The following is a 13,345-nucleotide window of genomic DNA, read 5'->3' on the forward strand; positions in this document are numbered from 1 at the left end:
CTGGGGCATGAGAATCGCTTGAACCCAGGAGGTGGAGGTTGCAGTGAGCTGAGATTGCACCACTGTACCCCAGAGCAAGACCCTGTCTCAAAAAAACAAAAAACAAAACAAAACAAAAAAACGCCGGGTGGCGGGGTGGGGAGGCGGGGAGAAAGCTGCCTCTGCATTGCAACTTCCCAAACAGCACAGACATTAACATTTTAGTGATGAAATAACAAAGCTGATATTCTCAGTATCATTCCTTTATTGAGTGAAATCAGAAATATAACTTTTTCTTCTTTTTTTTCCCCCGTGGGACTCCATAAAACTATTTTTGTTGTAAATGTTTTAAAAGGCAGCCTGTCAATATTTCAAATGTTCCTGAATTGGAGCTCATGGATAAATGACTCTTCCCCCATTGGCCAAGTCTCCTCTCCTGCTGCAGCAAGGAAAGGGGCACTTGGGAGCTGAGAAGGCAGGAACCAGGCGCCGTTGACACTCCTCTAGTGAGATGAATGTTCCCTCCACTGGGTCAGCAGTGAGCACCAGCCCAAGAAGTGCCCTCGCCTCCCTCCTGCTGGGCAGTCACCAGGCAACCCTGCAGGCAGTGCACCAAGCTGTTCCTCCATAATGCACACCCAGTCAGGGCCTGGGCACCTCTAGTTACTCAGCAGTGAGCCCACCTGCTATGTCTCAGGGGCATCCCACACCCAGAAAGCTGCTTCTACTTCAAGCCTACTCCCAGGGGATGCCCCATCAGGGACTAGAGGGTCCTGCTGAACCCACCCCAGGTTCAAGGTCAGCAGCAGGCTGTTTCACCAGGAAGGCCAGGAGCTATGCTCAAGGTAACCAAAAGGACAGAAGGCCCCACCCAAGTGTCATCTTGCCCCTCCTCCCAGCTTCCCCATTGGCTAGTAAATGAGTAAACAGACATGGTTCTAAAACCTAGAAGAGCATCAGAACTCCCTGTGGATCTGGGTTCAATAACACAGATTTGATATTCCACTCCTGGATATTCCAGTTTTGTAGGTCTTGAGCAGGGATCGACTTTTTTTTTTTTTAAGGTTCCAACAGATGATACTGTGGCTACGATGGGCAGCTCAGATGTAGGCCACTGGCAACACAGAGTGGAAGGAGAAGCCCACAGGGTTCCTCACTGGGCGACACAAGCTCTTCAAAGCAAGCTGAGTAAATCTCTTGGTAACAAGCCAAGCCGGACTGCCCACAGCTATGGGCAGGTCTGCTGTGTCTTTCGCCTGCTGAAAGCCCAGGTTGCAGCACAGGGAACAGCAGAGACAGGATCAAAGGCTCTCTGAGGACAGTCTGTGGCAACAAAGTAGCAGCTCCTCTCTGATGAGGTAAGGAAGAGTCCAAAGAAATTACTTTTGGGCTGGGTGTGGTGGCTCACACCTATAATCCCAGCACTTTGGGAGAACAAGGCAGGCAGCTCACTTGAGGTCAGGAGTTTTAAGACCAGCCTGGCCAACATGGTAAAACCTCCTCTCTACTAAAATACAAAAATTAGCTGAGCGTGCTAGTGTGCACCTATAATCCCAGCTACTCAGGAGGCTAAGGCAGGAGAATCACTTGAACCTGGGACGCAGAGGTTGCAGTGAGCCGAGATTGCACCACTGCACTCCAGTCTGGGTGACAAGAGTAATACTCCATCTCAAAAAAAAAAAAAAAAAAAAAGAAAGAAAGAAAAGAAAAGAAAGAAAGAGAAAGAGAAAACACTTTTGAAATTTGGAAATGAGGAAGACTAAGGAAGAGTCCAAAAGAAACTTTGCCTCTGCCCAAGGAGCCCACAAACTTTCCAAGGCCTTCCTGTTCCTGGAAACGGTGCCATCTCCAAAGACTCCTCCGCACATGGAAGAGCCTGATCTCTCGGGCACAGTCAACCATTACGGCCCATTTTCTCAAACTAGGCCCTCCTGGGGGTCTTAGGGAAAGGGGGCAACATTACACAAGGCAGGTGAAGGGGATAGCCAATCACAGAGGGGTGCAGGTTGGCATTGACCTCTTCCTAACTTTTCTCATAATATGAAAGTGACTTCTCTTCTCAGAAGAACCGTTCATAATGAAATTCGAGCTGCCTCAATCTTCCTTGATCATCTCTTCACTCTTACCACATACACACACGCACGCACACCACAGGAAAACGCATCAGATGAAGAACTTCCCCAGTCCAGTGCAGATTTAAGAAAGAGGACACTGACATAGGGAGGTGGGCTGGGGAGCTGGGGAGGGGGCAGACAAACAAGGGCATGTGACTGATACACTTCAGGGCGGGAGTCAGACGGCCCCCTCACAGGCCAGGGTGACATGTGACAAAGTCACAAGGCCCTGTGGTATTTCTTGAAACTTGATTTCAGCCCAAGTCAAACTCCATGGATCAAGGGTCATTTCTGGCTATTATAGGATGAGAGTATCCAGGACTGAAGACCTCATGGGGCAGAAAGAAAAAAAACAGAAAGGTAGCTCTTGGAGAAATAACCTAAAGATTAGAATCAAGGAAGAGCCAACCTCTCTTCTAACAGGGAAAAAAAATTTACTAAAATGACACTTCAGCATCACCTATTTTTTCAAGCTTGTCTTTCTGAACAGAACTTGAAAACACAGTTGTAAAACTGTTTTACTAGTTCAGCCGACTTAGAAAAACAAAAAGAGCTTCTCACAGCTTTAAACAGAGTCCTGTGCTGAAGTGTTCCAACACTCCAGCCCCACTCTGGGGTTAAGAATGACAGATGATGCAATGTAAAAACATCATTTTCCACTGGACACAGAGAACATGGTACAATACTTTGGAGGTTAAACAGATGAGAAGGGAACAGTACAGAGACCCAAACTTAGCTCCTCCATGCCTCTAGCACACACATATGCCTCATGGAAGGCATCTGGAGAGGTTAGTGCTAGAGAGGCCAGAAATCTTGTTTCTGGTTCTGTGCTGGAATTAACTAGGTAAACCCTGGATGAACTGTTACATCTTTGATCGTCACTACCTGAGAATTAACTTAGACAAACATTGACACTCTATAAAGCAGCAATTGCAAAATGTGGGTTTTCAAAAGCACTCTGAGTTCTTTTCAAAGAGGATGGCATAAGAATCGACACAGCTGACATATGGTGTGGACAGAGAGAAATAGCTTGGGCTTGGATTTCCGGTCAGTTCCCCTTTCTGCCAGTTACCATCAGAGGAACCATGGGCAAATTACCCAATCTCTCTGAGCCTGTGTCTTCACCTTTAAAAATGGTATTATAGTTCTCAAAGTAATTGCGAGGAATTAAAAGTCAATTCAGGGTCAGGCGCGGTGGCTCATGCTGTAATCCCAGCACTTTGGGAGGCCGAGGCAGGTGGATCATTTGAGTTTAGGAGTTCGAGACCAGCCTGGCCAACATGGTGAAACCCCATCTCTGCTGAAAATACAAAAACTAGCCAGGCATAGTAGCATGTGCCTGTAATCCTAGTTACTCGGGAGGCTGAGGCAGGAGAATTGCTTGAGCCTGGTAGGCAGAGGTTGTGGTAAGCCGAGATCACACCACTGCACTCCAGCCTGGACAACAGAGTGGGACTATCTCAAAAAAAAAAAAAAAAAAAAAAAAGGGAATTCTATGCCCTGTAAAGTGCAGTCTATGGAAGTGATGATGATGAAGACCAGGATACAGTACAATAAGGACTCTTTATGCTTTCAAAACCGTGATTATGCTGCATCTGGTGGAAGCCAGGACTCTGGAAATATGGCCCAGACACACCCAGAACTGAGGATCAAGATGAGCGTGGATCCCTGGGTCATGAGCATCCCAACCAAGTGCCTGATGCCCAACTCCAGGGAACCATCTTCCCTCCGCACACAATAGTCATTCCATGGTGGTGCACACCTGTGAGTCAAAAACACCCTAAGAAAATGTAATCCTTGGGGCATTTCCTCAGCTCCAGCCTCCGGCCCATCAATCACAAGCACAATCAAACTGCAATGCCTCAAACCAATCTCCTAGGACCCCTGCCAGGGCAGAGACTGAAAGTCACTGAGGCAATAGAGCATGTATTATATTGATGATCCTCTAGCTGCAAGACCTGATTGGTTTGAGACTCCCTTGGATAATGCTGGCAATTAATTTTGGCAAAAGAGCAAAAGATAGATGTGACATCCATTGAACACAGAGCTGCACAGGAGTCAGGTTTCTGGAAGGTAGGAAGAATGCAAGGAAATTAACTCCAGAGTGGTTTGCAGGGAATGGGGGCTCCAGGCTCATTATTTCAATCTTGAAAGCTGTCAATCACTGTCAAAAGGCAGTTTAATCTCACCCTGAAGCTTTCAAGAACACTATGAATCCAGGCCTACAATTAGCAGTCCAATGTTGGGCTGATGAGTTATGGGCATTTTCCATCTGGGAGGGCACAAGCTTCTCCTATCCAGGGCGTGCCCTGGGCATAAAGGATGTGTGGACAAATACAAACACTCCACCAGCCAGAGGTGACAGAAATAGGCCTATAATATTTGCCCAACTGGGTTTATGAGACAAGCATGTAGTTCAACACTGTTTATACAGTTCATGAGAGAATCTTGGGCAGTGACAGAGAATGTAACTCTCATCCTCCTTAGGGCTTCCAGAAATGAACAGAGGATATATATATTTTTTTAAAAAGTGGATCCTCCACATTTTCTAAAGTTTTTAAGCTCTCTGGGGCAGGTTAAGAAATTCAGACTGCCCAGGAAGTGATTTTTTTTTTTTTTTTTTTTGCATGGAATTTCGTTCTTGTCACCCAGGCTAGAGTGGAATGCAATGGCATGATCTCAGCTCAATGCAACCTCCGCCTCCTGGGTTCAAGCAATTCTGCCTCAGCCTCCCTAGTAGCCAGGATTACAGGTGCCCGCCACCATACCTGGCTAATTTTTGTATTTTTAGTAGAGACAGGGTTTCACCATGTTAGCCAGGCTAGTCTTGAACTCCTGACCTCAGGTGATCTGCCGGCCTCGGGCTCCCCTCTTTACACCATTCTCTAAGCAAATAAGCTAACATCCCAGAATGGAATTATAGAAAGATTGCACCAGTCAAAAAAGGCATTTGGTATACATATTCTAAGAAATGCTACATAATAACAATATGAATTAATAATAAATTACCTTCTTTCACCTTGAACTGAAGGATTTGCAAATTTTCTCAAGTTCTCTTTCATTTGACCTTCACAACAAACCTGTGACATTTCTTACCCCCTATGAATGGTTAAGGAAAAGACTCAGAAAGTGGGTTCTTGCTTCTTCAGATCCCAGATGACTCCTGAAATATTCATAATTCTGATCTTAAAAAAAATATAACACAGATGGTAGGACATGCCTCGTGAATCAGGTAATACCCTGGCAGCATCTCCCTTAGAGCGTAGAATTCCACAGGCAGGGATGTGCCAAACACCTCTGCACGCCAAGCTGGGTGTAGCAACTCCATCAAATCCATTGGATCACGATGATCCTGGTACAGGGAGAGGGGACAATGGAACAACCAAGGCCCTGGAAGACAGCAACTGAAAATTTTGACCTGTGGTTCACCAGCTTGAATCCAGCACTGGGATGTCGGGGGTGGGGTGTTCCAGGGAAAAAGACCACAGCTTCTGGATGGTTCCAAGAAGATAGGTTCCCTCATTAAAACTGGTATCAACCAACCCTCTTGTACACAGACCCCTGTGGTGGGTGTCAAGGGGAAAGAAACAGATGGGCCCAGGATAGATAACACAGATGCCCAGTCCCTGCCCCCAAGAAAGCTGCCCCTGCCAGTTGAGAACACTGCTGCATCTCATCTGAAGAGAAGCCTACACAGCAGTCCTGGAATTCCAAATCAGGTGGAAGAAGGCAGATGGCGCAAAATAAACTCAAGAAACAGACAATGGGAAGTAAGCATCAAGCCAGGTACCTTGACACAGTACCTCTGGCATGGTCCCCAACAGCTGGCCTGTTGGCCTCCCCAAACAATGCCTCTTTCTAATGAGTCTTTCTTTAAAGTGGTCACCGACTATACACCTTAGTGTAGAGCTGCTGGTACAACTTCCTGTAACATAGCAGTTGCAGTGAAGCTCCAGGGCTACGCTGGGAGTATGAGTGACTGGCTCAGCCCCAGAAGGCAAGTCACTCTCCGTGTCCTGGTCAGCCCAGCCCCTGTCACTGGGCAACATGTGGTTGTGTTCAGACATCTCCCACCTGTCCATAAAAGGTGAGGTCTAATGGTGGCCTCTTTGGGACAACCTTAGGGCAATGGGGCATACGTCCAGGACTGAGGCTGAGAAGCACACACTGGTGCATCCCTACCAGGGTGAAAATATTGAAATCCTTTTTACATGGTGGTAAGTAGCAGCTTCCCTGAATTCCTGCATGCCTACTACCACCACCCAGCCTCTACAATGGGACTCCATGCCTCCCCATGATCCAGCGACTGAAGGGTTGGACCTGGCACAGTCGACACTTCTCTAGGACTCTGTCGGTGCCCAGGCAGCTGTGTAATTGTGAAATGCTTTGAATATCCTCCCCACACGGGCCCAGTCAATGGTGCTGCACCTTAACCCAAACACCTCACTAGTAGAAAGGCTAAGGAACTCACCTTCCTAAGAACCTGTTGAGGCCACACCACCAGCTGTCCTCCACTGGGCAAGAAGGTGTCACCCCCAGCTCTCCTCTCTAGCTAGGGATCCTCCATTCCTGCTGAGAGGGACAATCCTGGAAAAAGAACTATAGCCCTTCAGGTATTGTATCCATACCTCTGAGTCTATGTGTGTTTTTGAGAGGAAAAAAAAATGCTTCTGGTTTCACCTTTAGAACTAAAAATCTGGTTGATCTAATATGCTAGACATTTCAGCAATCTCTGGCCCAACACAGAGTAGGGTGCCACTGTTCTCTATATTCCTGGCCCAGCTGAATCACAGCATCATAGCATTTAAGCACCCTCAACTATATTCAGCCCGATATGTTTAAAACTGCAGGTTATGGCCAGGCATGGTGGCTCACACCTATAATCCCAGCACTTTGGGAGGCTGAAGCAGGTGGATCACGAGGTCAGGAGTTTAAGATCAGCCTGACCAACATGGTGAAACCCTGTCTCTACTAAAAATACAAAAAAAAAAAATCAGCCAGGCGTGGTGGCGGGTGCCTGTAATCTCAGCTACTCAGGAGGCTGAGGCAGGAGAATTACTTGAACCCTGGAGGTGGAGGCTGCAGTGAGCCAAGATCGCGCTACTGCACTCCAGCCTGGGTGACAGTGCGAGACTCTGTCAACAAAAACAAAACAAAATAAAACAAAAACCCTGCAGGTTATGACCCATCAGCAGGTCACAGAATCAACTGAATCATTCACAATCAGCATTTTTCAACTGAAACAACAGCACAGAAAACAGAGTACTGCATATTAAAAGGGTTGCTGCATGGAACTTTTGTTTAATTACATACATGAACATAAGTATTGGGTTGAGAAAGAAAAGGTATTTCTTATTCTGGGTTTCAGGGGAAAAAGCTTTTGAAAGCCCCTGATCTAGCTAACTCCACTCTATCATTGATGAGGAAACTGAGGCTCAGAGAACAGCATGGTCAAGGCCACTCAGAGAATGTGCAGCCAGGTGAGGTGGTTCTCAGTCCATGCAGCCTGCGGACTTTGCTTTTCTTCTAAGCAGCTCTGGCTCTGGCCATGGGCATTGGGATTCTGGGATGCTAAGTAGCTGGCTCCTCAGTTCCTAAGAGCTGTGCTCAAGTGGTCTCTAGTGCCATTGAGATTTTCCCCAGCAGAGTAACCCTTAGCACTAGATCTCCTGAGGCTGACCAGGAGGCCCTGAGAAGAGATGCCAGCCAAGCACCCCATCCCCCATTCCCACAGCCTGGTAGTGGGTTTGGGCCCAGCCTCTACATCTCATTCTCTCTTTATAAAGTCTCAAGCAAACTGTGTGGCTGGGACTTTATAATAAACTTGGAGCCTTCTTCAAGCTGAGGCTCCAGCAAACAACTAGATCTTTCTGAGCAGATGCTTCTGCTCTTTAGGCAGGCTTCCTGTCTCTACAGGTGGTCTAGCCCTGGGACTACTGGAAAAATGAGGGAGTGAGGGTGTGCTTTGTGAGAGGCTGGGACAGGGGAACGGCTCCTCCTGACAATGTATGGAAACACTTTTTTTTTTCAATTAAAAATAGCATAGATCACAGATGAGAAACTAACTAGAACTATATAAAAATACAACTTTTTTTTTTTCCAATGGGACCTGCTTAGATAGAAGCTAACATTCCCTGAAAACTATTTGTCAAGCATTGTGCTATGGGCTTCACACACATTATCTCCCTGGATGGTATAGTAGTTATCTCACTTGATATAAAATAAAGTTCAGTGATACCAGTGAATGTATTAATGACATACACAGAGCTATCACTTCTACAGTGCTTATTCTATTCTAAGAATTTTGTGTGTTATTTGATCTCATCATCAGCTTGATACAGTTGGTGCTATTCTCATCCCCACTTTGCGGATTATGAATTGAGGTAAGAAAGGCTACCTGACATGCCCACACTCACATAGATACTAAGTGGTGGGGCCAGGGTTTGAACCCAGATGGTCCAAGCTTTGGACCCTCCTAATTACCTCCACTACACTGGTTATGATTCCTTCCACTTTCTGGCGCAGAAGCAGAGACTCGGGAAAGTTAAATCATTTGTGTCCACTCCACCCAGAAGCTCTCCACGTACACCAGAGGGATGGAAAACATTTAACAATGGGTAAGGCAGGTCCATGACCTTCACAAGGGGCACCATTGGCTAGGCTGGAGACCTCCTGCTATGCTGGAAACTGAGCCATTTTAGGGGCTGCTTCAAGGGGAAACCCAGAGGGTTTCAGAGAAGGGATAAGGTAACAGGGACACTCACAGCACTTAGGGCAATGTCTATTTTAATCAGCAGGGAAGTTTTCCAATATGTTATCAATTTTGGCCACTGCAAACAGCCAAGATAAGACAGTGCTAAAGCTCTTAGTCGAAACTGAATTTTTGCATGTTTCGGGGCTGGAAAGAACTCTTGAGCCATATAGAATTCAACAGCCTCATTTTACCAATGAGGAAACCAAGGCTGCTATGCAAAGCATGGTGCCCAAGGTCAGAGAACTAGTAAATGACAGAGTCAAAATGAAAATCCAGGGTGCCCAGATGCCCAGATTGGTACTTAGGGTGTTTGGTGGTGGTGGTTTGTTTCTTCCCTATCTGTGCTGATTATATTCAATACACAGATGCTGATGTGCATGCACGGGGCCCAGCCCCCAGCTGCTGTGCCACACCCTGACAACCTCAGGATCTTCAGAGAGGCTCAGCTGCTCAAAGTTCCACCAGGGACCATACAAGCTTCATGGATATTCAGATTTTTTTTAGTAAGCACCTGAATTTTGTGTAACTGATTTCCACACCCATTGAAGGCGGCTTCTAAATTTAGAATTAACATCCAAAGCGGTCTGTTGCACAAATGTATACTTCCTCGCAAGCTGTTGTCAGAAACAGTAAAACTGACATCCATAAAACAGTTTCTTCATACCTTAATAATATTGAACTATAAAAATAGAGGATCTCAAGCAAACAAAGCTGTAACCATAATAACCTTTACAAAGTCTACTACCACAGTCAAGTACTGTCCAGATCTTTTTTTAATGAAAATGTAAAGGTGGCCCCAGCCTTATTCTCACATGACAATGCAATTCCCTAGGCCCAGCATTCCCTCTAGACACTTGTCACTGCCCAATCCAGAACTTTAGTAATTGATCATTTGGGGTAATAACCTGCACCTTATACAATAAAGCCACCTTTGCAGAAACTGCAGCTTCACTTTCATCACTTCCTCCTTTGCCTATTCCAATTAGTTGCTTAGATTCAGTTAGACACGTCTCCCCATACCAAGCACATTCAGTTGTGCCAGGAGGATGGAAGAAGTCTTTCTTTCAAGACATCTTAACAAAGTAGACATTGCAACGCAATAAAGTAGTGAGACTCATGGTTGATGCTTACACACAATCTTCCAACAGAATGCTTTATCATCCCTTGCCCAGAACAGATGGGGAAAAAATTACGCTATGCCCTGAAATTTTCCATTCTTGATCTCAGCCCAAAGGTGACTTTTTTATTTTTAAACTTGAGACTTGAGCAAAAAAAAAAAAGTTCAACTATTTTTGATTCATGCCCAGGCTAAAGAAACACATGGTAAGATTCTTTTTTTTTCCAAACCCGTAGGTAGCTCAAACAGCTAAGCTTCAAAAGCTCAAGCTTTCCAACTAGCACTAATAGTGTTCACAGAGGCAGCACCTCTGCAGTAATTGCAAGGCCAAAAATCAATAGCCGGGGTGAGAAGGAGCTGGGATTCCACTTTCTGGACACATTGTCCCCAGTACCTCTAAATACTTAAAAGAACCGCATAGAATTCTCAAATGTTTAAGCAGGATGGTTGGGCCTGAAGCTTTTCCTCCCTTCTGGGTGATAAGGCAACCCGTCCTCATCACCATTTTTTCATTACCCATCCTTTGATGCATTTCAGTCCTCTCGAGAGTCCAGGCTACCCAGAGAGAACTGACAGGTCTCCTGACTGCCCTCTGTCCCCAGAACTTGCTCTCTTCTACCCCGTCCCTCCCAGCCCTAGCCCCAACACTGACTCCTCTACTCCTTCTACCCTCCCTCCATCCTGCTATTCCCAGTCTCCATAGAGGAAAAAGGGAGTGTCATGCCTAGATGAAAAGATTTGGGGTTCAAGTCACCCCATGTACCTCCCTGGTTCCAACGAACCTCCGGAATTCTAGCCACAGATCCCCCTCTTGCCCTCTCATCCTCCCCTAACACATCCCTACACATTGCAGGCCCAGGGGGGAGTCCACAAAATGGGACTCCATGCATCCATCCTTCTGTGGGGCCGCGTAGCACACCCACGGCAAGACTCCAGTCCCTGGTCCCGGCTCTGCCACTTATGAACTGTGTGCCCATAAGCAAGTCGTCTCTTGCTCTGCAGACTGGGGCTTATCACATTTGTCCCACCTGTCCCAGAGAGCTGTTATGCAAAGTAAGGGGAATCACAGATGTGAACAGGCTTCAGAATCAGAGCTCAATATAAATGTACCTCCTTATTATTAGGCACATGGCACAGTGCCAGGCAGTGTGGTATGTTCCTTGGGGCTAAAGTCCAAGAGATATTGGCAATAAAAGAAAGTGAATTATACCGGGCAGAAAACAAGGAACAAAAAGAGAAGAACAGAGATGAGGATTCACCAGCCTCCAGAGAAGAGTGAATTCACAGTGACAGTGCAATCAATAAAGGCTTCCTGCAAGAGGAAGGCTTTGTATGCAGCCTGAAGTGGCTCTCACCACGCTGATCAAAGGTGATTTCATGGCCAGGCATGGTGGCTCATGCCTGTAACACGAGCACTTTGGGAGGCCGAGGCGGACAGATCACTTGAGGTCAGGAGTTCAAGACCAGCCTGGGCAATATGGTGAAACCCCATCTCTACTAAAAATACAAAAATTAGCCAGGTATTTTTTTTACAGGTGGCACATGCCTGTAATCCCAACTACTCTGGAGGCTGAGACAGAAGAATCACTTGAACCTGGGAGGCAAAGATTGAAGTGAACCAAGATCACACCACTGTACTCCAGCCTGGGCAACAGAGCAAGACTCTGTCTCAAAAATAAATTTAAATTTAAATGTAAAAAAGGTGATTTCATGCATGCCCCTTCCCAAGACCAAGCGCTCTTTGAGGGCAGGTGACATGTCTTTATGTCTCAGCCTTCGCAGCTTCCTCCTGGCATCTAGGTGAAAGAAAGAATGAATGGAGCCTTGAACTAACCAGGAACTCAACTAAGTGGAAAAGAGGAGAGACTCCCAGATAGCAGAGGGAAGACAAGCTGGGGTCAGAGGGCGGACTCTTTGGCTTAGGAGTAGAGGAGTTCAGAAGTTCAGGCTTCTGATCACAAAGGGAGGTAAAAGGAGTTCAGAGGAGTCAGTGACATCATGAAATCAGTATTTGGGGAGCTTAATTGGGCAGCTGCATGCAGGATATGCAGCAGGGGGTGAAGGAAAGCTGGCAGAGTGGCCAGGAGGCAAGGGCAATGAGTCAGGCAGACGGTGAGAAGGGAAGCCACTGCCTCTCGGCCAAATCGCCCTCTGGGAGCACCCATCTCTGTCCCAGTGGAAGCCCCATCAAGGGCCACTCTCAGTGACTGTCCTCTTTAGGCTGGACCTTAAGTGTCCCCTAGTCCTCCTGCCTTGCACCCAGCACTGGCCTCCTGCAAGTGGTTACCTTCCCCTTGTGAATCCCTCCAGGCTCAGGGATTCCAGGGATTCCAGGGATTCCCTCCCATTCCCGTTTTAGAGGACAACGCGGATGGTAAGCACTCCCTTAAAGGAAGCACAGTGATGCAGCAGCGGGCGGGGAAACAGGGAGAGAGCTTTTACTTCTGAGCACATTTTCCCAAATTGCTATCTTTTCAACACTTTTATAAGGTAGTATGTTAATATGACAGTTAAGATGATGATAAAAAGAAGGTAGAGGAAAAAAATGTGGAAGACAGGACCAGTGCATTCAACACACAGCTCAGACATGATTGAGAAACAGATCCTGGTGCTGAAGAGCTGGGGACAGGAGCCTGGTGATGGGCAGCCTCGGTTCCAGGGCAGGCCCTGCCACCAACGCACTGTGTGACCTTAAGCAGCTGTGCTCTTCCCAGTCACTCTCTTCCACCTGTAAAATGATGTCAGAGATAGTTCCCACCCAAGAGGGTAGTTGTAAGAAGGAAATGAGTTGATCTGGTGCAGTGCTTAGTACTTGGCACAAGATAAGTGGTTAGTAACTGGTATCTGTGATGGGCACCAGGCTAGCAGTTACTGCCTCTAACATCTGGAGACGCAAACCCTAGCACTGCAGCTATCCCACAGGAGGTGTCAAATGTGAGCCTCCCACCCCATCCCCCTGAGATCCCCACATGAATGCACCTCCCCACAGCCCTAACGCTCTCACCAGGGACACACAGAACAAGCCAGTGCCTCCTCGCTTTACAGACCATCAGAAATGCAAAGGCAGTTGCTGTGCCTCCACGGAATATTCTCTCCCCTAAAATCTTCATGTTTTTCTCTCCTCTTATTTCTCTTCTATTCACCTACTGCACAAACAAGATCAGGCAGCAGTGATAGGCAAGGAAAGATGGAAATATTCTTTAAGTGGAATAGCAAAAATAGGCTTTGGAAATTAATGCCTAGAAATTTACCCTGTGGGCTCTCTGGAGACCAACCCAAATGAAATCCCATTGACAGAAAGCTGCAGCCCTCTGGGGAATGTCCCCCCATCCCATCCCCCAGGATCCTTGGTCCAGGAAACATGGAAGTTGGCTTCTGATC

The 13,345-nt window shown here is 46.8% G+C and overlaps 1 protein-coding gene across 53 annotated transcripts in view, besides 4 other annotated features; it reads right to left on the bottom strand.

Annotated features, from left to right (window-relative positions):
- The window catches only part of KCNMA1 (potassium calcium-activated channel subfamily M alpha 1), a 768,207-nt gene that overhangs the window by 683,346 nt on the left and 71,516 nt on the right, over positions 1–13,345 (bottom strand). The window lies entirely within an intron of this gene.
- Positions 11,321–12,177: an enhancer, noted in NCBI's record as "H3K27ac hESC enhancer chr10:79324026-79324882 (GRCh37/hg19 assembly coordinates)". NCBI's record gives its function as "activates a minimal SCP1, AML or CMV promoter by ChIP-STARR-seq in naive H9 embryonic stem cells {active_cell/tissue: H9 hESC(naive)}" and the evidence as "EXISTENCE:reporter gene assay evidence [ECO:0000049][PMID:30033119]".
- Positions 11,321–13,032: a biological region, named in NCBI's record as "H3K27ac hESC enhancers GRCh37_chr10:79324026-79324882 and GRCh37_chr10:79324883-79325737".
- Positions 12,144–12,438: a silencer, noted in NCBI's record as "tiled region #368; K562 Repressive non-DNase unmatched - State 21:Repr, and HepG2 Repressive non-DNase unmatched - State 21:Repr". NCBI's record gives its function as "represses a minimal TATA promoter and a strong SV40 promoter by Sharpr-MPRA in K562 cells, with weaker repression in HepG2 cells {active_cell/tissue: HepG2 | K562}" and the evidence as "EXISTENCE:reporter gene assay evidence [ECO:0000049][PMID:27701403]".
- Positions 12,178–13,032: an enhancer, noted in NCBI's record as "H3K27ac hESC enhancer chr10:79324883-79325737 (GRCh37/hg19 assembly coordinates)". NCBI's record gives its function as "activates a minimal SCP1, AML or CMV promoter by ChIP-STARR-seq in naive H9 embryonic stem cells {active_cell/tissue: H9 hESC(naive)}" and the evidence as "EXISTENCE:reporter gene assay evidence [ECO:0000049][PMID:30033119]".

Source organism: Homo sapiens, chromosome 10, assembly GCF_000001405.40.
Source record: "Homo sapiens chromosome 10, GRCh38.p14 Primary Assembly".
Taxonomy (NCBI): Eukaryota; Metazoa; Chordata; class Mammalia; order Primates; family Hominidae; genus Homo; species Homo sapiens.